General features: G+C 36.2%; 1 long non-coding RNA gene across 1 annotated transcript in view, besides 1 other annotated feature; it reads right to left on the bottom strand.

The window, feature by feature from the left end:
- Nucleotides 15622–15791: an enhancer, noted in NCBI's record as "experimental_19685 CRE fragment used in MPRA reporter constructs". NCBI's record gives its function as "activates a minimal promoter by MPRAs in K562 erythroleukemia cells, with activity observed for the non-introgressed 11:127210286 variant allele {active_cell/tissue: K562}" and the evidence as "EXISTENCE:reporter gene assay evidence [ECO:0000049][PMID:34662402]".
- The window catches only part of LINC02712 (long intergenic non-protein coding RNA 2712), a 65964-nt gene continuing 58795 nt past the window's right edge, over nucleotides 19064–26232 (bottom strand). Inside the window, exons 2-3 of the long non-coding RNA NR_120580.1 lie at nucleotides 20952–21073; nucleotides 19064–19332 (exon numbers count right to left, since the gene is read on the bottom strand). This is a non-coding gene — a long non-coding RNA (long intergenic non-protein coding RNA 2712). The remainder of the gene's footprint in view (nucleotides 19333–20951; nucleotides 21074–26232) is intronic.

Below are 26232 nucleotides of genomic sequence, written 5' to 3'. Positions count from 1 at the left end.
TAATACTGCACAATCACCAAGATGCTTGTGATCTGATGTCAAAATAAACATTATTAAATCCTTAGGCTAGGGAAGAAGAAATTATTTTTAGACAAATTAAATATCCAAATTGAGACACTTAAAAAAGAATAACATAAGACAGAAAGTAAGAATAAATATGAGAAGAAATTGGTAAACTAGAAGAAAAAAAACATAAAGGCCTAAAGTGAGTTCATTTTAAAGACTGAAAAAGTGACCAATCACCGGCCAGACTGACCACAAAAAAAAGAGAAGATACAAATAAACAGTATTAGAAATAAAAATTAGAGCACAGCCACAGACATAGTAGCCATTCAAAATATTCAAAATATATAATTATCATCTTTATGTTAATAAAGATGAAAATTTAGATGAAAGGGACAAAAACCTAGAAAATCTACATAATTCACTCAATCTAAAAAGACAATTCTGAATAATTCTGTAATAATTTACATAATCGAATCAATAGTTCCAAACCTTTTCCCAAAGTAATACCAGAAAATTTTACAAGTGGGTTCTGTTAATATATCTGAAAACAATAAATTCTAGTTTTACTCAATTTCTACCGGTGTAGAGAAAAACACACAACACCCCAAATATTTTTATCATGTCATCTTTAATATGGCACTGCAAGCAGATAAGGAAAATATGAGAAAGAAAAATTATATGACAATTTTACTTGTAAACATAGAAGCAAAAATCCCAAACAAAATGTTAGCAACTGATAAAGCTGTACAGTAAGGTTTATAAAATAAATGACTTAATTGGCTTTTTGTGGGAATTCAAAGATAGTTTATAATCAGAAAATCAACTAATGTTATTTATAACACTAACAGACATAGGATCACCTCAATAGATTAATAATATCATTTATCAAAATAACCAGTACTTAATTATAAAATCTCTTTGTAAATTAGAAATTCAAAGGAACTTTTTTAGCCCTTCTAGTAGCATCAACCAAAGAAAAAGATGGTGGATGGAGGAATGGAAGCAAGACCATGTTTAATGGTAAAACTTGGAAAGCATTTTCTTTAAAATCAGAAATACAAACAGAATTCTCGTTTTTGTTCTTTCTAGTTAGTTTGGAGGGTCCAGAAAAAAAAAAAAAGACAGAGAGAACTGTGAAGAATGAAATAAAACTGATACCATTGACTTATAAGATTCTTGTGGTAGAAAAACCAGAAAAACATAAAAATATAGAAAAAGCAGTAATATTTTAAATAATATTTTTCCAAGTTTTCTGCTGCTTATGCACAACTCATTTTCATTTATTATACTAGACTTAAATACATAGATTACATAATTTTTAAAAGATGTCATTACTGCTGAAACCAAAAATATGAAGTACTCCTGGTATAAATCTAGCAAAATGTGTGCAAACCTTTATGTATAAACAATGTATATACCATATATATTTATTGAAATAAACTAAAGGAAACCTGAATAAATGTAGAAATATTCTGTTTTTGTGGAACAGCAGATGCATTGCAAAACTGTCAGTGCTCCCTGCGTTGACCCACAGAATGATTTAATTCAGAAGAAAATCCCATTAAGTTAGTAATTTTCTTTGAAACTAAAGGTGTTTCTGAACTTTTTTGGTAGAGCAAAAGTCCAAGAACAACCAAGACACTTCTGAATCTATCAGATAATTTAGGAGGACATTTTCTACCAGCTATCAACACTTATAAACTGTGGTAAAACTGTACAGTAATAGATCAATAGATAAATACAACAGAATGAGAGCCCAAATAGTGACCCGCATATAAATGGAAAATTGATATACGTCAGAACTGGCATTGCCAATTAGTGAAGAAAGGAAAGAGTTTTAAATCAATGATTTTAGGGCAACTAATTTTTCATTTGAAGGAAACAAAATTGATTCCTTAGGCCTCGTCATACACAACATTTTATCTTAGTTGGATTAAATATCATGTAATTTTTTTTTTTTTTTTTTTTTTTTTTTTTTTTTTTTTTTTTTGAGACGGAGTCTCGCTCTGTCGCCCAGGCCGGACTGCGGACTGCAGTGGCGCAATCTCGGCTCACTGCAAGCTCCGCTTCCCGGGTTCACGCCATTCTCCTGCCTCAGCCTCCCCAGTAGCTGGGACTACAGGCGCCCGCCACCGCGCCCGGCTAATTTTTTGTATTTTTAGTAGAGACGGGGTTTCACCTTGTTAGCCAGGATGGTCTCGATCTCCTGACCTCATGATCCACCCGCCTCGGCCTCCCAAAGTGCTGGGATTACAGGCGTGAGCCACCGCGCCCGGCCTAAATATCATGTAATTTTAAAAACACATTGTGGTCCCTAAAGAAAACAAATAGACAAACCAGAAATGGGAAGCTTATCTTTGTAGACTTTTGTAATATTTGACATGTTTTAGTATAGAGAATATATAAAGAATGATATGAATCAATAAAAAAAAAAAGGAAACCAAATTAAAAGTTGGCCAAGGTTTTGAATTCTTTCACAGAAAAGAAAAATGTTTGGCCACAAACATAAGAAAATATGTTCAACATGGCTAACAAGGAGGTACATGTAAGTTAAAATCATAATAAAATGGCATTTGACAGTCATGAAATAGGCAAAAATTAGAAAGTCTGACTCTTCAAAGTGATGAAAAAAATAGGAAATAAGCCTGGCACAGTGGCTCATGCCTGTAATCCTAGCATTGTGGGAGGCTGAGGCAGAGTGATTGCTTGAGCTCAGTAGTTCTAGACCAGCCTGGGCAACATAGTGAGACACCCCACCATCTCTACAACAAATGAAAAAAATTAGCCAGGCATGGTGGCTCATGCCTAACTACTAGGGAGGTTAAGGCAAGAGGATTGACTGAGCCAGGGAGGTCAAGGCTGTAGTGAGCTGTGATCATGCCACTGCACTTCAGCCTGGGTGACAGAGAGAGATCCTGTCTTAAAATGATAATAATAAGAAGAAATAATAATAATACACTACTGGCAGGGTAGTCATGATTTTAAGAAACAATTTTGCTTTGTCTGGAATCCAGGAATTCCAAAATTCTAGCCATATTCAGGCATTTGTGCACCAAAAGACACATAAAAAATGATAGAAATGCTTAAGGAAATGTAGAAATGAATTTCAGTACATTCATATAGTGGAAAACTATAAAAGCAACAAATATGAATCAACTCAAAATATATGGTGAATCTCAGAAATATAAAGCAACACTGAATTTTTAAAAATGCAGATAATACATTCATTATAACTTCAATTTTATACACTTCAGAAACATGTACATTAAGTAAAATATAAAGAAAGTCAGAAAAAAAGTAAAACAAATTCCAGGATTGCAATATTATAATTATTAAGAGGTGGGGGAGGCAGAAGAGGCACAAATGGATTAGGAAGTACATTCAGACCTTCGAAGTGCTGGTAATTTAATTTTTATGTGTTGGTAGTCATTTTTAAGCTTGTGCATTTATCAAAAGTTTTGTATAAATTACATATTTCAGAAAGTTTTGCTTAAAATCAAGCTATACAAAGTGCAGTATGATTACAAAAACATACAAGGAAAGGAAAGATGGAAGGAAGAGAAGAAGGGAGAGAGGAAGGAAACTATAGTGGTTGCAAAATTTTTGAAAACACAACAAATTGAACATTTTAAACAAATATTTATTGAGTAATTAACATTATGATTAGATAATGTGTATGACTTTAACATATTTAACAGATCTGGACTCAGAGAGTTGATTTTCCACATATCACCTAATTTTAAGTGGTAAATCAACATTTTAAACCAGTTCTCTTTATTTAAGATTTTGCTCTATCTTTGATAACTAACCTGCCTTCTAAGAGACTGCAAGTCCAAACTTTGGGAGTTTTGGAAAGTCTTTGATGGTAATCAGTATCTTCCATTTAGGAGTATCTTACATCAAGACTAGGCTTTTAAAAATGATTATTAGGTTACTGATTTACATTATAAAATATTTTTATACTGTGTAAATTAAAATCCTACAGTGCTCTCTTGAAAAACCATATTTTTTCTATGACTGATGTAAAATACAGAAACTGCAACTTAAAATTCGATTATAGATGACATCTTTTTAACTTTTATATCAAAAAATATCATCATAAGCAAATTTGAAAAGCAAGTGGAAATTTGAAAAACAAAACTGTTTATGCCAGACAAAAATTTTATATGCCCAATACCTAATTATCTCTGGTGGGGGAAGATGAAAAATAAAAATAAACTCCCTTCTCCCCAAGACAAAAACAAAACAAGGAACAAAAGATACAAACAGGTAATGTATCAAATAATAAAGGCTAAGGATCCAAAATCACTATTTAATCAAAGAAATGCACATAAAGAGGGACTTTTTTTTTCCATCTAGCATTTTGCTAAAGATTGGAAAGATTTACAGTGTGTTATGTTGTTAGGATTTAGCCATACTTTTGTTTCTGTGTCCTGTTATTAGTAATGTAACTTGATTAAACTTTTCAAGAGTGCATTTGGTGAGATTTCAAAGTATAAAATGTGCACATTCTTTGAATAAGAAATTTTACCTACAGAAATGTTTTCTAAGGAAAAGAAAGACAACTTTTTAAAAGCGTATGTATTAGGGGGATTTTTTACAGCATTAATTACAATAATTAAAATCTGAAAGCCTATATCAACAGGAGCTTGGCTTCATAAATAATGGAATTAAATCAATGCAATATTATACAAATATTTAAATGATGATATAAACCACTATTACCGACACATGAAATGCTGATTATTTATTGAAAACAGACTATGGAATTTGCACTGGATTTCTCTGGATGATGGGAAGTTCATGGAATTTTTATTTTCTTTTTTGATTTGGCTTGATCATAGCTAACTGCAACCTGGAACTCCTGGCATGATCATGGCTCACTGTAACCTTTCAACTGATCCTCCTGCCTCAGCCTCTTAAGTAGCTAGGACTATAGGCATGCACTACCATGCCTGGCTAATTTTTTTTATTTTTATTTTTATAGAGATGGAATCTTGCGATGTTGCCCAGGCTGATCTCAAACTCCCAGCTTCAAGTGATCCTGCTGCCTTGGCCTCTCAGAGCACCGGGACTACAGGTGTGAGCCACTACACCTGACCCCATTTTCTTTTTCACAAATTTATTTATTTTATTTAACAGTGAGCACTTCTCTATACAATTAAGCACATATATATTATATTTGTTTATTATATATTTCTTTAAAGGAAGAGAAAAAATAAATCCACTAATACACACGCATATTATTAGCAGATGGGTTTTCAGGAATATGATAACAGCTACCACTTATTGGATTTCTTTTTTATGTCAAATGTGACTTTCACAAAAATTATGAAAGGTACAAATTGAGAAGTTAGGCAATATATCCAAGTCTAAATGACAAAGGTCAGTTAGCATATCGAATTCAGGCACCACTGAATTCACCAATCCATGCTATTACATAACACAGGGCCTCTTACCTTGAGTCACTGGAACAGATAACCATGAATGGGTTTCAGAAGGCCTGTGAACCGATGAAATTATAAGCAAAATTTCATTTGTAGCTGAATTTTTTGAACTAAGAGTCTGCAGCTTTTATTATGAAGTGCATTTATGCAGTCCAAAAAGATTAAGGACTTCCGATTTTGAGGTAGCAAGGGTTCGTAGATCATTAGTCCCATTTTTGTGATGCTAGAACTTCCCAGCTACAGAAGACAATATGTTTTCCCCACTTCCCACTCTCTTCCCTTGCTTCTCCCATCCCCTTGTCTTTAGGAGCTTTGGGAGCTTACTTTGAGAATGAACAGGCATCTTCTTTCTGAGTCTCATGACCTGTACAGGCCACCAGCTTTATGTGTATAAAGCAGAGTACAAGCCTGGCTTATTGCAAGCTTGGCTTATGCATGCTGAACTGCAATCAGTCATCCCAAAGCCATCACTTTCGAATGACTTATTGCAGTTCAGTGTGCATCTATGTGACCAGGGACTTGACCTCAGTGGAGACACAAAACAGGGTCAACATCTTGCATTTACTTTTTCACCTTTGCTCTAATACCAGCTATCTGGCTATCCACTGGGGACTACAATTTAATTCTAGCACTAACCACCTGTAGTTAATGCAGACTCCACAGGCTAAAGAGCACAATTCTCAATAAGACTATCACCAATTCAGATGCCAGCCATATTTTTGAGATCGCCAGCATTTCTGAACTATTGGTTACAAATTCCAGGGTTTCCAAGATCCTTTCAGGTTTGATAATTTGCTAGAATAACTCATAAAACTTACAAAAGTGCTGGACTTATTATTACGTTTTTATTATTATAAAAGATGCAAATCAGGAACAACTTAATAAATAGATATATAGGGTGAAGTCTGGGAGGGTCTCAAATGCAGAGCTCTGAACCTTCTTGTGAAATCAGGGTCTGCCACCCTCTTGTCACATCAACATATTCACACCACCAGGAAGCTCCACTTGAGCTTCAGTGTCCAGAGTTTTTATTGGGTTTTATTACATAGGAATGACTGCTTAAGCCACTGGACATGTAATTGAACTTTAAGTCCAGTCACTCCCCTCTCCCTGGAGATTGGGCCGACTCAAAGGCCAACCTTCTAATCACACGGTTGTCCTTTCTGTTGACCAGCCCGCTTCCTGAAGCTATCATTGGGCCCGCTATGAATCACCTCATTATCCTACACTCTGGTGTGATCCGAGATGTTCATAAAAAACAAAGACATGTTTAACACTTAGGAAATCCCAAAGATTTTAAAAACTCCATGCCAAGAACCCAAGACAAAGACAACACAAGTTCTTTATGATACAACAATGTTAACAATCTCACTCTTTCAATATTGCTTTTCCACTTCTTCTTTGGCCTTCTTTCTTTAGTTTCCTCTTATTTCTTCCTTTTCTTCCAATTTTAACTGATTTTCTGACTTCATCCTGTTACCCACATTTTGAACTGAAAATGGTGCTCACCCTTTGTTTCATGAAGGAGAAACCTGTTAAGAAGACACACACATTCATCAGCAGTTACACAAAATACCAACAATGAAGGTCATTCGTATAGTAGGTTATGTAAGTGAATCCCCCACTAACTTAAAGCAGGAGCAATGAACAATAAAACATGTGAATGGTACACGTGATACAAGAGAAAAAAAATACTACATATTAAAATTGTTCTTTATGGTTGAAAATAATGTTTCTTAAATTTTAGGGCACAGGGAGATAGATCACCTGAAGACAAAATTCAGAGTCTTGTTCAGCAGCTCAGATGTGGGGCCCAAGAGCCTGCACAGGGCCTACATGGTGTGTGGAGTCCAGTGCAAAGTGAATATTCAGGGACCCTTGTTCAAAAATTAAGAATTTCAAGATGGCAAAAACAACATATTAAACCAATCCCAGAGCCCTTCTGAGCATAAGGCCCTATGTAACTGCACGAGTCACATGTTGATAATTCCTGGAAGTGCATTTTCAGCAAGCACCCAAATGAAGTTGATGCTACCGATCCATAGATTCTAATTTGAGTTACAAGGGTCTAAAAATGTTCTAAATTGCTCCCCCCACACACATTTTGGATTTATACTTTTTGTTCGCTGACTTTTGATTTTCTTTAAAATAAGCTATTTACTTAGGAGATTAGCCAAGAAATTTGGATGCTAGAACTATCTCAGAGACCAATATTTGTTTTTGATTTTGTTGTGGGATATTCAGTAAAATTTGTTTAATTAATAAATAATATGGTATATGAATATATGACTTTGTTTTTAATTCTCTCCTTTCTTCACTCTTCCTTCCCATTACTTCCTTTCTATCCCAAATTCTGTACTAACAATCATCTCCATGAAATTAACATTCTTCTCCTACCTTCAGTTCTACTTACATTCAATTTTTCAAGAACATTCATGCTACTGTCAGACATTTTTGCCTATACACTTATAGTGACTGGGATTCTTCAGCAGGTCCATTCTGGTGCCAGAAATACATCAGTAATATGTCTTATTTCTGTAAAGCAGAGGGTTTCACTGTTATGTATCTTTAATATTTTCAACCATTTTGTTGTGGAAATAGCCCTAAAATATATCATACATATTCATTGCCTTTCAAGCAGAGGACGAAGAGCATAATCTAGATTCTGGGGTGCAGTTAATGTTTTATGCGATGCTATAATACCCTACGATACTTGGAAGTATTGTGATTGATGAGGCTACTAACTCCTATACAAAATGTCCCAGGCCACTGGAACGCTGACTTCTTGATTTTATTTTTGTGTGTTTAAAAAAATTTCCCCAAATTGTTACCTGTAATGCCCTAGTGTTGTAAGCTTGTTTGCCTAAACCAGAATTTCACTGCCAAACTTTGTATCTCTAATGTGGTTTTGGCCAAACTTATTGAGATAATTCTATGAAAATTAAGTCATTTATGTATATTGACAATGGGTTTAAGAAATTCACCTATGAATGAAGAACTAAAATGTAAGTTTTGGTAAATGGGATCTGTGACATAATTTTGGATTGTCAGGAAACCTTAATTTTTCTTTTACTTCTGTATTCTTGATACAACTATTATCAGTGATCCAGATAATTGTAGACTTTTCATGAATTTGACTATAATAAAGTTGGAACTTGGGTTCCAACTGATCATTAAGTCTCTATGTATGTTTTTGAGTGAACTAGTATGTAATTTCCAAGTTCTTAAGATTTTGGATGGCAGGGGGTAGGGGGAGGATATGAAATAGCTTTAGTCTCTGTCCTTAAATGTTTCTAAGTTCATGTGTAATAATAAATCACTTTGATACTCAAATGTCCAGAGATTGGTCATACAGCATATAGATAATTTGGTACCATTTCATCTTCACTGTATCTTTTCTGTTGCCCAATAACCAGTCTCTTTTCATTGCTTAGAGTGAAGAGGCTGCTGTATTAACACTAATTTCTGAGCTTCTAGCTGGCTTTTATGACAACTCTCAAATAGGTTGAACTTGGTTGACAACTGCGGGACAAATGATGAAGGGGAGAAAGCTAGGCAGCAATGCTGATGCTTTTGCTACCACGTCTTCAGATCTTGCAGTGAATGCTCTAATTGACAAGATTCTGAGGGGTGGGGACACAACCTGGAGGCATAGTTAAAAATCTTGAAGAACAGTCACTCCTGAAAGGCAGAGGTGCCTCTTTTTTTTCTTATTTATGCAGGAATTTAAGTTTAGTAAAGAGAATATATAACACACATACATACACCCCACCCACACATGTATACATACATACAAAAATATACACACATCACATTAAGGAGAAATTGGAAAAAAATGAAAAAGGAATTCCTAAGGTGAGTAACTTGGGGAGAAAGATGAGATGCCCACAGGAGTAAAATAAAAACACAGCAGATTCCTGTTTCTTACAAACGTATGTTCCCATCAGGATTACTGAAGCAGCTAGTGTTCATTTTGGCATTTTCAACTAGAATACTCAAAATTTCAGGGAACAGTAAAACTCTCCAGATTTGTTTAGAAGGAAAAATCATTACACATGAAACAACAAAGCACTTTTAGGGGCTAAGTCTGGAGAAGGGGCTAAGGCATGGTACTGAGCAGGGGGAAGTTTGGTGTGGAAGTCATTTTCTCTACCAATGACTCCAAAACCCAGAAATGTCAATGCAAAAAGATCTCCCAGTTCAAACATGTTGTCTATTGTCTGTGTAAAGACTAAAAACTCCTGAAATTACCCAAGAAGACAAGGAAACTTCATACAACTACGTTCACATCAGATGCATCCCAGTAGCACCATTTTCTCTCTATAATTCTTAGAGTTTCTTATCAGAAACCCTTGCTGCTTTCCAAATCCCTCTGTTTTCTTTCTTCTTGACCTCGGACGCCTCTGGGCATGTGCCCCCAGGAAGAGAAAAATGGCTTGAGCAGAGGCATAAAATGATGCACAAATCTGCCATAAGTTCATCCTAAGTCAACTGAAAGCAGCAGAAGAAATGGCTTGCAAAACAACAACAACAGCAGCAACAAAAAACTAAAAACCAGCAAGATTTTGGTTTTTTCGTCCATGTAGCTTTGGAGCCACCAGATGGCGGTGTTGCAGACCAGCTCTTAGAGCCTCTGGGTGCAGTGGAAATGAGAGAATAGGAAGAATTATTAATATTAAAGCGATGCCTGAAATGTGCTGGTGTTTGCGTCGCTACCAAAACGCCGAATGCATTGCGACTAAGGACAGCAACTTAAAGGCGGGGATGACTTTTCTTCCACAGTTTATTCTGAAACAGCAGGAAGCTACCAGGCAGTTTCATGGGATTAGATTGATTTAACCTCATCAGCCAGATCACTGTGAAAGGAAAGATGTTCCCAGAGACCCAAGTTTACATGATGACTCCAGAGCAAGAGACGAAACCCGATGAAACCAGTAAAAGCCGTCAGAACAAGCTCTCCAGGGCTCCCATCACCACTTTCCTCCATTTCTTTCTTTCCATTGACTGGGTCCCCAAGCCACCTCTCGCTGCAGCCCGTCACCGACGCTGGCAACACACGCACACACTCACATTTTAAAAAGCAAATGTCACAGAATTTCCAACAACCACACTTGCCAGCCAAAGAAAGCGTTCATTGATTTCCTGTTTTGTGAATTGATACAGATAATTTCTGTGGCTTAAGGGGTTCATTAACTCACTCATTTGAAATAATCTGAACATAAGCCGAGTTAAAGTTTTCTCTTGTCCTGTGTCCAGACTCATTTAACTCAATTTTTGAGAGCACAGTGCTAAGGAAACCAAAGCTCAGTGTTCAATATCCACTTGGTTTTACTCTGTTCCACTGATATGCCTCATACTCACAACCCTGGCTATCTATCTAGGACTAAGGTCAGAAAAGGAACTTAAGGGTCAGAAATGAAAAACAGAGTATGGATGGAGAAATACAAATATACTCTAACTACTGGAGAAAAATGGTCCCAAATCAATCTTAGGTTTTGGTTTGAGGTAAAATGGGTAAGCACAATTCACATTGTCTCTCCTGTTGAATGTAGCTGTAAAACCTGTGCAGAAAGGATGGAGCATCTCTTTGAGGACTCTAGTGGTAAAAAATAGCTGGAGGGTTGGAAAAGAAGATACAAATTTAAAGTACCAAGAAACTGGCAGACAATTTCACATTTTTCCTCCTTTCTCTCTCAGTGTAGACACACAGTAGCATAAAACCAGGAGGTGGTCATTAACCTTGGACAGATAACACTTTAGGAGACGCCTGGAAAAAAATAAAACTATCCCTACTCACAGACGACGTAATTCTGTATGTAGAAAAGTCCCAAGAAAACGACAAAGGAGCTCTTGGGATGAATAAATGAGTTTCACAAAGTCAACATACAAAACCAAATTATATTTCTATATAATGGCAATGAAATTTCAGAACTCAAAAAGAAAAGTCTTCAATAGCTTTAAAAGAACACAAAATACTTAGTTATAAAAGTAACATAACTTACACTGTATTTCCAGGTTGAACATTATAAAATTCTGATAAAAGAAATAAAAGAACGTACTAAATGGAGAGACATACAGTGCTCATGGATTAGAAGACTTAATAAGATAAAGAGGTTAACTCTCAAATTAACAGGTAACACAATTTCAACAGTAAAAAGCAAACAACCCAATTTTAAAATAGGCAAAAAACAAACATGAAAAAAAAAAAAACAACCTTGAACAGACCCTTTACTTAAAAGAGGACATGTATGGTTAAAACATAAATGAAGAGGCCAGGCACAGTGGCTCACACCTGTAACCCCAGCACTCTGGGCGGCCGAGGCAGGCGGATCACGAGGTCAGGAGTTCGAGACCAGCCTGACCAACATGGTGAAACCCCCGTCTCTACTAAAAAAAAAAATACAAAAATTAGCTGGGCATGGTGGTGTGTGCCTGTAATCCCAGCTACTGGGGAGGCTGAGGCAGGAGAATCACTTGAACCTGGGAGACAGAGGTTGCAGTGAGCCGAGATCGCGCTATTGCACTACCACCTGGGCAAAAGAGTGAGATTCTTTCTCAAAAATAAATAAATAAATAAATGAAGAAACACAGGAAAAGATTATCAATATCACTAGCCATTAGGAAAATGCAAATTAAAACCATGTGAGACACCTCTCTAGGCCTTTTAGAATGGCTAAAATAAAACATCCTGATAACGTTAGGTGCTAGTGAGGACACAGAGCATATGTAGCTAGTGAGAACACATATAGCTTGTCAGGCTTTATAAAGCTAAACAAATATTTACCATATGACCCAGAAATTCTATTCCTGGGTATTTTGTCTTAGAGATATAATAACTTGTATTCATACAAAAACCAGTACATCGAATGTTCATAGCAGCTCTAGTCATAGTTGCCAAATCTGGAAGCAATTCAAGTGTCTTTTAATGAGTGAATAGATAAGCAAACGGTGACACATCCATACAATGAGATACCATTCAGCAATGGAAAGAAACAAACCATTGACACATGCAACTTTGATGAATCTCACAGGCATTATATGACCTGAAAGGAGCTAGTCTCAAAAGTTTATACAGGGCATAATTCCATGTATATGATAGTCTCAGGAAGACAAACCTGTAGAGATATAGGATATATCAGTGTTTGCCAAGAATTAGGGGTATGGGGAGGCTACAGAGTAATAGCACAAGGGAGTGTTTTGGCGGAGATGTAACTGTTATGCATTCTGTGGTTATATCAATCTATAAATATGGTAACATTCATAGATTCGATTTGATTGCATGCTAATTTAAAAATTAAAAAATTTAAATACAATTCCTGCTGACAAGAGATCAAATGACATCAACTTGATGTGTCTGAAGGGAAGCACATTTTATTCTGTGGGGGAAAAGTTCAAAGAAAATGAATTGTGCACACTCTTGTGGGACAGACACCTTACATTATCTCATGGAATTATTGTAAGTCTCCTGTTGGTTGGGTTTTATTATTCTCAGGTTAAAGATGAGAAATGGGCATTTAGAACAGCTAAGTAAAATGCTCAAGATGAAAGAGCTAATGAATGGAGGAATAAAAATTTGAAAAGTCATTTGTCTGCTTTCAAAGACTACATGCCCACCTGCTATGCCGCAGCTTCCCAAACACTCAAAGGAGGTATGTTAACACTACTTAAGAAAATTAACTTTCTGATCACTTTTAAAACTGTATTTAAGACATAAAACACATGCATTTATTAAACCATCCCCAGCATGATTTCTACTTGGAGATAGCTCTCTTTTTTTTTTTTTGTTTTTCCCAGAAGGAGTCTTACCCTGTCTCCCAGGCTGGAGTGCAATGGTGCAGTCTCAGCTCACTGCAACCTCTGCCTCCTGGTTCAAGTGATTCTCCTGCCTCAGGCTCCCGAGTAGCTGGGACTACAGGCACGTGCCACCACGCCCAGCTAATTTTTTGTATTTTTAGTAGAAACGGGGTTTCACCATGTTAGCCAGGATGAGAGATAGCTCTTATTAGGAATCAATTAGTTCTTCTGTATAGTTTCAGAGAGTTCTTCCCAAAATCCTAGAATTCAGATCTCTAATTCTAATTTACTCCACCTTTGCTTATTACACATGGATAAGGCTTTTACTTTATGACATACCTTTCAGAGATGAAAGGATCCATTTCAGAGGTTGTTCTTCCTCAAAGCAGAAGTCTTACTCGGGCCCTAATTAAACATGGCACTGCTATTTAAACCTTGTGATTTAAGAACAAGATGTAACAGTGGTTCAGCACTTTGAAGTAAAACACTGCTCCATGTGCAGTTAGTAGAGTGGTGGTGATCTGTGTTTGTGTGTGGAACCCATGACACAGCTCAGTTAGGACTGTCCTAGTTCTCTCCTTCACAGGGAAGGATTACCAAATAGCAAATTCCTACTATTGCCTTGTCACCCATCATGTATGCCCCTTTCCCCCCAAAAAAGAACTGACCCCAAAGTAAGTAATTTTAACATCTTCTACAATGGACATGCTCATTTCTGCCACTCATTACATGCACCAGGCCCTGGGTGTGGCATCCCATGCCCAGAAATGAAAGCATCTTAAGAGAGAAGGCATCCAGCTTCTTGCAAATAAATCCCATAGATGCCATTACAGTTGTCAAAGGCTGAGCCAAGTTCTATCTCACCTGCCAGCTGGAAAGAGTATTGACAAGTGCTGAGCATCTTGGTGCTGTTCTGACGTAGGAATCTAGGTGAGGGGATTTGGTAAAACATGCAAATTGTTTCTGACTATAATCCAAGTAGTTAAAAGTACCAAGGTTGCAATTGGTGATTAACTTCCAAGTATAACTAAGTGTATACATAATTTCCTTTTCTTTACAGCTTTTCTTGTATTTAAATATGTGTGAACAAAGGAGACTCTACCACAGGTGACTTGTGTGAACCCCAGATGTTGATCTTAGGCTAAGCAGTTCATTCTCTGCCCTTCCCAGGGAGACACAAGGAAGGGATGAGAAGAGATCTTTGCATAACGTATCTGTTTCTTCTGTACCTGAGCTGGCACGAGGGCTTGCAACTCTTGCCTGAACTATGTTAATAGTATTATAAGCTGGTTCTTCCTAACTCCAACTTTTCTCACAACCAAAATGCCAGAGATATATGTCTAAAACTCAAATACATTTTTTATGTGACTGTACTACTTAAAATTTGGCAATGGATTAGATAGAGGCCAGACTATTTAGTAGGACATTCAGGTCTATTCAAAATCAAACCTCCACGTACCTTTCCAGTACCATCCTCTGCTATTCTCCTCTGTATACCTCATGATTTAACAAAGCTATTTGTTAAATTCTCTGGACACACTTCCATTGTGTCCCATCTTTGCTTACGTTAGTCCTTCTACTAACAAGGACGCTTCTTCATTCTGCCAGCTGGTGAAACGCTACTTGATCGGCAAGGCTTAACTCAAATATTACTACCTCGAAGGAGACTTTCCTACCACCTACCCCTTGAAAAACTCAGTAACACAGATATGTAATGTATTATCACAACCTGCAGCTATTATAGGTGCTCACTTAGTTTTATTCTTCATCAGACGTTCTCTTATTCTCTCATGGTGTTTGTTCATATTCACCCATAGCTCTCATCTCATGGCACTTCTACAGAAGTGTCTGCTCCTCTTGCTACAATAAGATCTTTCTGAGGGCAGAAGCCAAGCATTATACATTTTTGTGTGAGCCTAGTTTCCGTTTATTGTGGAGCCTAGCATATGGTAAGTGCTCAATAAATATTGAAGGTAGAAAAAGAAGGATAGGGTAGAAGGATGGGGGGAAAAATGAGAAGACAGATTGCTGGCCAGGAGTGAGTTGTTTTCCATTTATCCAGAGTGACTGTACCTGCAATTAGCAGAAGACTAGAGGTTCTACCCAAAAGCACAAAAGACGTTGGTGGTGTCTCTAAATGACTCCTCATCTTTTTACTTTATCAGTGCCATGGAAGCAGGTAAAAATAATCCTCATGGTAATGAGCTGCTCTGAGTCACTGGCAGATCACCTCCTAGCCTCTGGCAGGAAACTAAGTGAAAATAAACCCAGGTCCCACCATAGCCACTTCCTTCCATCATTTCCTGGTCTGGTCTTGAAGCTACTTGGGTGGATAAGAGGACAAGATACCTTGCCTGAAAAGCTTTCACCATTTTCTCTTGCTTTTACCATGCACATAACACTAATAACTGTCAGTACTAACAATACTAATATTATTATAGTATCCATTGTGCACCCAGTACATACACAGACACTGTGCTAGTTGTTTTTGCAATAATATTAGAAATCACAGAAACTCAGACACAGTATCTGTTTATGCGAATGGGGGGCCAGTTGCTTTTTTACTAGTGATCACATATACACAATTAACACTGAATTTAAGGTTCAAGAGGGGCAGTGTCATATGGGGAAGAGCAGTATGGCCAGAGAAAGAAGAAGAGTAGGCTCTGTTTTGTGATTGTTTTAATGAGAGCTAATAATGCCCCAGATCAGGCCCACAGTTTCCTAATCTATATAATAAGGGGTTTCATCTAGAGCAATGCCTCTCAAACTTTAATGCACTTATGAGTCATTTGAGGATCTTATTAAAAAGGCAGGGTCAGATTCGGAATGTCTGGGGTGGGGATTCTACATTCCTAGCGAGCTCCGCTGTTACAGCAATGTTGCTGCTCCTCCAATTACATTTTTAGTGTCAAGCATCTAGAAAAATCCATAAGGTAACATTTAGCTCTAAAATTCTATACTAAAGAAGAGACTGGAGGCCATTTGAAGGTCTCTGGACTATAGTTTTATAGTTTCTCCCCGCAGCAAGAGTTAGAAACGTGTCTCTCCTTTAAGATCCCATGAGTCAACGGGTAGACATTGGAGAGATCCATCCCCATCCAACCATCAAGAAAAGCCATTGAAAACTATAAATGCAAATGTGATAGAAATTGCACCTATTCCATGATTTCTAATGACACATTCCCTGCAATGAAAATTTGCAACCCATTTCAAAAGTCTTACTTAATTCTAAAATCCTCCTTTTCCTCCCTGCCTCCCACCCACACTGCCACACAACCCAATTTCTTTGAAACATCCCTGTGAGGCAAACCTGAGCTCAGAGCAAGAGTGAGAGTGGGGACTGTCAAGATGTGAATAGCTCAGACTCTTTTTTTCCCCCTCAATTATTGGCCTGTTTTAACACTTTAGAGACTACAGCTCATTAAGACAGAAAGAAGAAATCCTGAGCTCTACGCCTCTTCCAATTCCCAAAGCAGTGGCTTTCTGAAAAGCTAAGATTCCAGTTGCATGATAATACCTTTACAAGGAGGTAGGCACCTGAGTGAAAAAATAAAAACAACAACAACAAAACTGGATTAAAGGATATTCCTGAATCCTAAAACTAGTCATGCTAAATTATTAAACATCTTCAGAATTAATTAGAAACCAGTTAATCTCTAATCTAGGAAAATAATATAGCATATCTTGCTTTAATATGTTTGAGATTTGACTGACATTTCATTTGTTCAGGAGGATTTTTTTTGCTCTTTCCTGTCAAGAGACGTTGGCAAAGCTGCGTATAATCAACTTTTTCATTCCATCTGGCAAGGACTATTAGATGTTAAGACAGGAGATGTACAGCGCCTCTGTCATGGACTTGGATATACAGTGTAAGGATATACAGCAGTAACAGGAAGTTTTAATGAGACACCTCAGCCTCCAAATGTGACCTGTTTGAATAGTATTCAAACTATGCCTAACTTCTCCAGTGCTCTCTCCTGGCATTTGCAAAGCAAAGGAATTAAGCAACCGCAAATTGTCTTCCTGAGTCTGCAAATGTCATTCCCAGGTGTGGTGCCTCCATTTTCCTGTCTGGAAAATGGTGATGGAAATGACCTACCTTATTTAATCAGTGTTTATAATACTTGATTAGCCCCTGAGGCCAAAGCAACTAGCTTTAGCTAAGAATGGAAAGTCCTCTGCATGGAGCTTTTACCTTCCCTACTTCTGGGACAGAGAGATTCAGCTGCTCCAATGCAGCTGACAATAGCAAAGTGACTTTCACTCCCATCCAGCCTGGGTGGATAGAAAATACGGAGCTAGGGAGGGAGCTAAAAATGAGCTACAGTTCCACTGGGTTCCCAGGAGAGTGTAAAACAAAAAATGGGCCAAACAAGATACTGTATATTTTTAACTCATAAATAGGCCAGCACAATTATATTTAGTCTTTATAATGTGCTCTGGAACAAATTCGGCCACTAATAGCCTCCTTTGCCTGCCCATACCTACATTTCTTAATGAATTTTATTTTCCTGTATAAAAAACATAGTAAGAGGTTTTGTTAGCTATGACTCTACAATTCAAAAGGAAATAAACAATTTAAGTAATTACTCTGATTGTTTAAATTATGATCGCTATTTAACTCTAATTACATGACTGTTTCAAGAAGTGTTTTCTGTACTTTCCCTCTCTTCCCAATAAAAATTATTTGGGTAGATATTGCTATTCTCCTAAACACTTTCTTGTATAGATAAATTAAATACTCAGCTTTCTTCTCTGGAAATCAAGCACTAAGTCTCTCTGGCATTTAGGTTCTATGCAGTTAAGTTGTAAATTACAGCCCCTGCCTTTTGAAATTTACAAATCAAAAATTCACTTTTTTTTTTTCAAGACGCATTTATTGCGCCTCAATTATTGGCCAGGCATTGTACTGTAAATAAAACATACGGGCGACAGAGCGAGACTCTGTCTCAAAAAAACAAAACAAAACAAAACAAAAAAACATACGGCCGGGCGCGGTGGCTCATGCCTGTAATCCCAGCACTTTGGGAGGCCAAGGTGGGTGGATCACGAGGTCAGGAGATCGAGACCATCCTGGCGAACACAGTGAAACCCCGTCTCTACTAAAAATACAAAAAATTAGCCCAGCGTAGTGGCGGGCGCCTGTAGTCCCAGCTACTCGGGAGGCTGAGGCAGGAGAATGGCATGAACCTGGGAGGAGGAGCTTTCAGTGAGCCCAGATCACGACACTGCACTCCAGCCTGGGCGACAGAGTGAGACTCTGTCTCAAAAAAAAAAAAAAAAAAAAAAAAAATACACGGGTGACCAAAAGCAAATAGCATCTTCCTCACAGACGATATAGTCTAATGGAAAGTCAAATACTTAAACAAATAAATCCTAATTAGCAACTATACTAAATATCAGTTCTATGAAAGATTAAAATTAGGGGACTTAATTCATGCTATAAAAATAACATTTGAACTGAAAAACTGAAGGATAGGAAAGAGGAAACCAGTTGAAGGGTGCAGAGGAAGGATTTCAAGGAACAGTATGTGCAAAGGCCCTGCTGAAGAAGACAATATAATGTATTACAAGAATCAGAAAAATACTAGAATACAGCTGCCTGTAAAACTAACTGTACAAATGAATGAATGCTATGGAACATTAGAGAAGAAACATTAGGAGAGGTGGTCATGGACCACTTCCTCAAGAAAATAGAACTTAGAAATAGACTTTAAAGAAATTGAAGATTTTAGAAAGGAAAGTCCTAGGTACTTAGTATTTTTGACAACTGCCAAAGCAGAAAACAAAGGTATCAAAGGACATAAAACATGTTATTTTCTTGTTATGCCTTTAATTTTTGTATTTATGAGCTTGTTCATTTGAAAATCAAAGATACATATTGCCATATTTTCAAATTGAATTTATACAGAGACAAGCCTACAGTGAAAGAAAAACAGTATTTTTCAGATAAAAATTAATTCAAATGAATGTAACTTAAATGAAAAAATAAAACTATAAAATCTTAGGAAAAAAATAAAAGAAAATCTTCAGGATCCAGGGGTCAGCAAAGAGTTCTTAGTCATGACACCGAAAGTACAATCTGTAAAAGGAAAAAACGATCATTTAAACCTCACAAAAATTAAAACTTTTGTTCTGCAATAACTCGTGAAAAGTCCTAAAAGATAAGTGAGAAACTGAAAGAAAATATTTGTAAACCAAATATCCAACAAAGGAATAATACCTAGAATACATTTTTTAAAACTCTCAAAACTCTAAATTTAAAAATTCCAATTAGAAAATCGCAAAAGACAGGAAGACACATTTCACTGAGGCGGATATAAAGATGGCAAATAACACATGAAAAGATGTTCTACCTGTTAGCCATCAGGGAAATGTAAATTAAAACCAGGAAGAGATATCACTGTACACCCATTAGAATGCCTAAAACAAAAATATGAAAACAGCAAATGCTGACAGATTTGAAGAGAAATAGGATCATTCATACTTTGCTGATGAGAATATAAAATGATACAGCCACTCTAGAAAATATTTTGGCTATTTCTTATGAAATTAAACATGCAATTACTATATGGCCCAGCAATTACTTTCTTGAACATTTATCCCAGAGAAATGAAAACATTTTCACACAAAAACCTATACATAACTGTTCATATGAGCTTCATTCATAGTAACTAAAAACTAGAAATAGCCCAGATGTCCTTCATTGGGAGAAAGGTTAAACAAACTGTGGTGTATACACACCATGGAATATTGTTCCATGAAATTAGAAGTAACCAACTGTTGATACAAACAACATAGACAAGTATCTAGAGAATTATGTTGAGGGGAGAAAGCCAATATCCAAATGTTACAGTGAATAATTCCATTGATATAACTTTTTGAAATAAAAATAAAATTGAATATGGAAAATAGATTTGTGGTTGCCAGAGGTTAGAGATAGGGATGGAAGGCAGGTGGGTGGTTATAAAAGAGCATTCTTGTGTTAATAGAGGAGTTTTGAATCTTTGCTGTTGTTATAGATTTCATGTTTATATCATCCCCCCCAAATTAATATGTGGAAATCCTTGTCTCCAATAAGAATGGTATTTGGAGGTAGGGCCTTTGGGAAGTCGTTCAGTTTAGATGAGGTCTTGAAAGGGGAGTCCCCATGATGGGATTAGTGCCCTTATAAGAAGAGACCAGAGCTCTTTCTCTCTCCACCAATAAATATACAGCAAAAAAAATGGCCGTCGGCCACAAGGAAGAGAGTCACAACCAGGCACCAAATCAATCAGCACTTTGATTTTGCACTTCCAGGATTCAGAACGATGAGAAATATACATTAGTTGTTTAAACTACCCAGTTGCTGGTCTTTGATATAGGAATCCAAGCTAACTAAAATGATTGTGGTGTTCGATACATGAACCTACAGCTGTTAAAATTGTGTAGAACAAAATACGCAGGTGCACACACACACACACAAACACGTGAGTACAAGGAAAATGGGAAATCTGAAATAAGATCAATGGATTGTATCAATGTCAACAACCTGGTTGTGGCTGGGCATGGTGGCTCATGCCTATAATCCCAGCACTTTGGGAGGCCAAGGCTGATGGATCACTTGAGGTCAGGAGTTCAAGACCAGCCTGGCCAACACAACATGGTGAAACCCCATCTCTACTAAAAATACAAAAACTATCCGGGCGTGGTGGTGCATACCTGGAATCCCAGCTACTCAGGAGGCTGAAGCAGGAGAATCGCTTGAACCCAGGTGGCAGAGGTTGCACTGAGCCGAGATCGTGCCACTGAACTCCAGCCTGGGCAACAGAGTAAGACTCCATCTAAAAAAAAAAAAATAATTATATATATACACACACACACACACACACACACACACACACGCGCGCGCGCGCACACACACACACATACATATATATCTCCTGGTTGTTATATTATACTATAATTTTGCAAGATGTTCTTATGGGAAAAAAATTAAGCAAGGGATCTCTCTGTATTATCTCTTACAACTATATGTGAATCTACAATTACATCAATGCAAATTTCAATTAAAAATAGAATTTAAAAAAGTACAGCTTCTTCCTGGGAAGAAATTGGTCTGAAATTAACACAAGAAGAAAACACGAGGATGTAACTTGCTTGCACTGCTCTCAGTGGCAGAGGAGGCTATCTAAACATCACAGCAATGCAATAAGGAATGTCAAGCACCCTGAATGATAATGCTGTTGAGGTAACAAAGCAAAGTGGTCTCCAGAACTTTTAAAGATAAGAGAATTCTAGATTTCAACTTGAAAACAGACTTAAAGTGCCAAAATATCAGATATAAAAATACCTTCAGGAAGCATAATTGTAGTGAAAATTTCAAATCTTATTTCTTTCTTTTTTTTTTTTTTTTTGAGACGGAGTCTCACTCTGTCACGCAGGCTCACGTGCAGTGGCGCCATCTCTGCTCACTGCAAGCTCCGCCTCCCAGCTCACTGCAAGCTCCGCCTCCCAGGTTCACGCCATTCTCCTGCCTCAGCCTACAGAGTAGCTGGGACTCCAGGCGCCCGCCACCACGCCCGGCTAATTTTTTTGTATTTTTAGTAGAGACGGGGTTTCACCATGTTAGCCAGGATAGGATGGTCTCGATCTCCTGACCTCGTGATCTGCCCGCCTCAGCTTCCCAAAGTGCTGGGGCTACAGGCTTGAGCCACCGCGCCCGGCCTCAAATCTTCTTGTATGAAACACTTATCTGAGTATCTGACATGTAGAGTCAGTCCTTCCGTGAGCTTTTCAGTCTGCCTAGACATTGGCTATCTTTTTTTCCAAATTAGAAAACAAAAACAAAAACAAAAAAACTGTTTCATTTAAAAAAGAAGGAAAAGAAAAAAAACAATTCTCTATCACTATAAAATGTTTCTATTTATCTCTAGAAAATTTAGTTCCTTAAAATATTCTGCCTTGTTAATAAATGGTTATACCAACTTTTGCTTTGTTAGTGTTGGATGTAATATACATGTTTTTACATCTTTTATTTTCAGTCTTTGAGTGCTTTTACACTTGAGTTATGTCTCTTTTAGCAGTTGATGCTGTTGTTGTTATTGTTTTTAATCTAGTGTAACAGTTGTGGAAAGGTATCAGTTTAGGTTGTTATACTTTTAATTAGGTATAACAGTCGTTGTCTTTTAATTAGAGTATTTAGTTATTTTACTTTTGATGTTAATGAAATATTTGGCCTTAAATATACCATTGTGTTTTTTTATCTGTCTCACATGTTCTCTTTTCTCTCTTACTTTGTAGATTATTTCCTTTTAAAATAAATTACTTAGATTAAATTTAGGTTTTTTCTATGTTAACTATTTTTTAGTATTTTATTTCCCTTTATTATTTTAATAGCTATACATTATTTCACTGCTCTTTCAGTGGTTATGCTAGAGACTACAACATGTGTCCATGATATATCAAAAGCCTAATGTGAATTGACAATTTTACCTATTCTTGGCTAATGTTAGAACCTTAGAACATTTAACACTCTTCTGATGTCTGCCTATTTTGTATTGTTTTCATGTCTTTTTTATTATAAATGTGTGTGTGACTTCCTTAGACATTATCTTATTATTGTCTACAATAAATATTTATTTCGATTCACTCTCATATTGACCATTATCACTACTTTTCATTCCTTTCAGCATCATTGACTTCCCATCAGACACGAATATTGACAATTTTAAAGCATATTAGATACAGTGGAAGAGAGGATGAGTAAACTAGAAGACAGATCTGAAAAAAGTATCAAAATTGAAACACACAAGAAAAGAAGGGTAAGAGATATAAGGCTATGGTGGAAAAAAAGTCAAAATGTATGTATTTGTAGTTCCAAAAGAAGGAAATTTAGTGAATGGGACAGACTGAAAAACTTAGCTGAATCTCTTCTGCTTTAAAATATACATTTATTGAGTTTAATTTGTTGTTGATTATTCAGTCCTAGAACGTCATTGTAATTCATTTTTGTATATTTCAGTTCTTGCCTGAAATTTTTATCTTACATTTTACTTCTTTCAACATATTAAACATTCTCATTTTAAAGTTGATAATTTCATTAACCTGAACCCATGTATTTTTTAAATTGTCTATTGTTTCCCAGGTTTTTAATTGTGTTCTTACATTTCTGATTATATTTGATTGTATATTGAACATTGCCTATAAAAATCATAGAGATATTTGCATTCTAAAATAATATAACCTTTCCTCAGAACATTTTCTTCTGACAAGTAACTAGGGAAATAGCAATTCCAAAACACTATAATCCAACAAGAGATTTATTTGATTAAAAGCTAGGCATCGGTCCATGCAAAGGTTTATTTATTTAGAATTTACCCTTAATCCTAGCATATCACCCTTCCAAGCCTCAACCAAAAGCATAAGGGCTTTGCCAAACCTCCTGTGCTTGTAGGTTGTGAACTCCAATAGAGATGCTTGTCAACTTATGATGGGTTTACAACCCAATAAACCCACTGTAAATTTAAAATATTGCAAGTCAAAAATGCATTTAATACCACCTCACCTATCAAACATCATAGCACAGTCCCACCTAACTTGCACATACTCAGAACACTTACATTAGCATATAAATAAGCAAAATTATTTGAATCAAAGCCTATTTTATAATATAGTGTTGAATATCTCATGTAATTAATTGAATACTGTACTGAAAGAGAAAAAGAGAATGGTTGTATAGGAACTCAAAGTACTGTTTCTACCGAATGCATATCACTTTTGCACCATTATAAAGTCAAAAATTTGTTGTCAAACCATTGTAAATCGGAGATCGTCTGTATCTGTTCCCAAGTCATTTGAGTCTACTAACAGCTCTGCCCCGCTATGTTTTCCGAATCCATGAGGTCCCTAAGGTTAAAAACTCCCTCTAAGTTTTCTTATTAAAGATTTTTGGCTTAATACTTGTTTGCTGCCTTGTTAAATCTCAATGCTTCAGACAGATTTTTCTCCCAGATTTTTTAGATCATTTTGAGTGGGAGGGATGGTCTAAGCTATCTAGTCTGCATTAGTAAAAGGGGAAGTCTCAGTTGCCTTTTTATGTTGACATTTGTATAATTTCTCCTATTTTTCTTCTGGAAACTTTTGATCAGAGTCATCAATTCTTCTGTTCCAATATGCAATGTTTATTCCCCAACCCTGCTCTTGTGAAAGATAGAAGTTTTTTGCCCTCACACATCTTAAAAAATATTTGTTTCCCATTCGATAGGAAGTTTTTCTCACAATGGTATTTTTGTTTGATCATTTTAATTCAAATTTTAGAACCCATTTGTCATATTATCTTCTAGCACTTTGGGTTGCTGATGAAAACTCAACTTATTGGATCTGGGAAAAAAATTTTCTTGTCTTTTTCTTCTTTTCTCTCTTTTCATTCCTTTTTCCTTCTTCCTCCTCTTCTACTTCTTCTATTCTACCTCCTTCTTCTTTGTCAATAACTGCTAATCGTCTCTTTTTCTATCTTTCAATTTCTATTGGGTGAATGTTGGATCTTCATTATTGATGATCTATATCCATATTTCTTGCTTTCCAAAATTATCTTTATTGATTTTTATAATAAATTCTGGCAACTTTACCAATTTTATGTTTTACCCTTTCTATTAGATTTCCTTGTGTGTATTTCGGCAATCATATTATTAATTTTTCTCTTAATTTTTAGGAGCTTTCTTTCTTGTTTTATGACTGTTTCATTCCTATAGTATCCTGTAATTGTTTTAGAAATGGAGTATCATATTTAACAATACTGATTTTTGTGAGTGTCTCTATGTGGTGGCTTTAAAATACCTAAGTCCGCAAGTTCTTTTACACTACATCCTTCAAAAGATAGAGACAAATTCCCTTCCCCTTGAATGGGGACTGAACTGAGTGACTCACTACTAATGAATAGAATATGGCAGAAGTTGTCACCAATAAAATGACAAACGAAGCAGTTTAAAATCTAAAAGTACCAATGTATATGGGCTCAAATCTCATTCATCTATACTCATAAGTTGCAGAATAACTTCTGTATGACAATGCTTAAGGACATGTTCAATTTAAATACAAGTTTAAATAGTCTAGAAAGATAATATGACATTTTAAAATATAGGAACAGGCTACATTAATAGTAAGCTTAAATTCCACAAGTCACTAAAAGCAGTTTTTACACAACCAGGTGAATCAAACATTTCCTTTCCAGGAAAGAAAGATTTGCCATGAAGACCAAGGCAGAAAAAGAGAAAACATATTCAATTAGTGGCAGTAGGTAATTCCATATAGAATAGACAGATAAATGGCTGGCTGAAATTGGAACAGCCCAGGCCTAGTGGTAATAACATGCCAGTGAAAGCAGAAGGACTTGTTTCCTAATCCCTCGCAAGGCTTCATGCACAGTGGGAATCCCTGCTAACTTACCTGATTGTATGGCTATCAATATACAGTTTTATTTCCGTACTTGCATGTGTTAGAAACTGAGCTAGGTACTAGATATATAACAGTGAGAAAAAATAGGCGTCACCTGTTTAGAAACTTATTTTCTTGAGAGAGATGGAAACATTAATCAAATAGTCACACAAATACTTATTTGACTAAGTCAGCATTTCCCAAACTTTTGAACACTGAATTGATTAAAAATTAAAATGTATTGATGTAACACCAACAAAAGATCATAAGATATAATGTGCAAATGAATGAAAGTAGACGGCAAGAAACAGCATCACATATTACTTAATTACAGTGAGAAGTCATAACAATTTGATTTATGTGTATTTTTATTTTGTGATAGAAAAAATCCAAATTAGAGAGAGAAAATATTTTATTAAAAACAAGAATAAACAAGATAATAAAGTGTCACAATATGTGTTCAAAAAAAGACAAGATATATAAGATAGACCAGCAAAGACAAAATAGACCACATACATCAATATGATAGTTAGTTTGTAAATGCTGCCTATGCATCAATGCACAAACT

This window comes from Homo sapiens, chromosome 11 (genome assembly GCF_000001405.40).
Source record: "Homo sapiens chromosome 11, GRCh38.p14 Primary Assembly".
Classification (NCBI taxonomy): Eukaryota; Metazoa; Chordata; class Mammalia; order Primates; family Hominidae; genus Homo; species Homo sapiens.
Note: the sequence above shows the minus strand (reverse complement) of the source record. Positions and strands in the feature narration are given on the sequence as shown.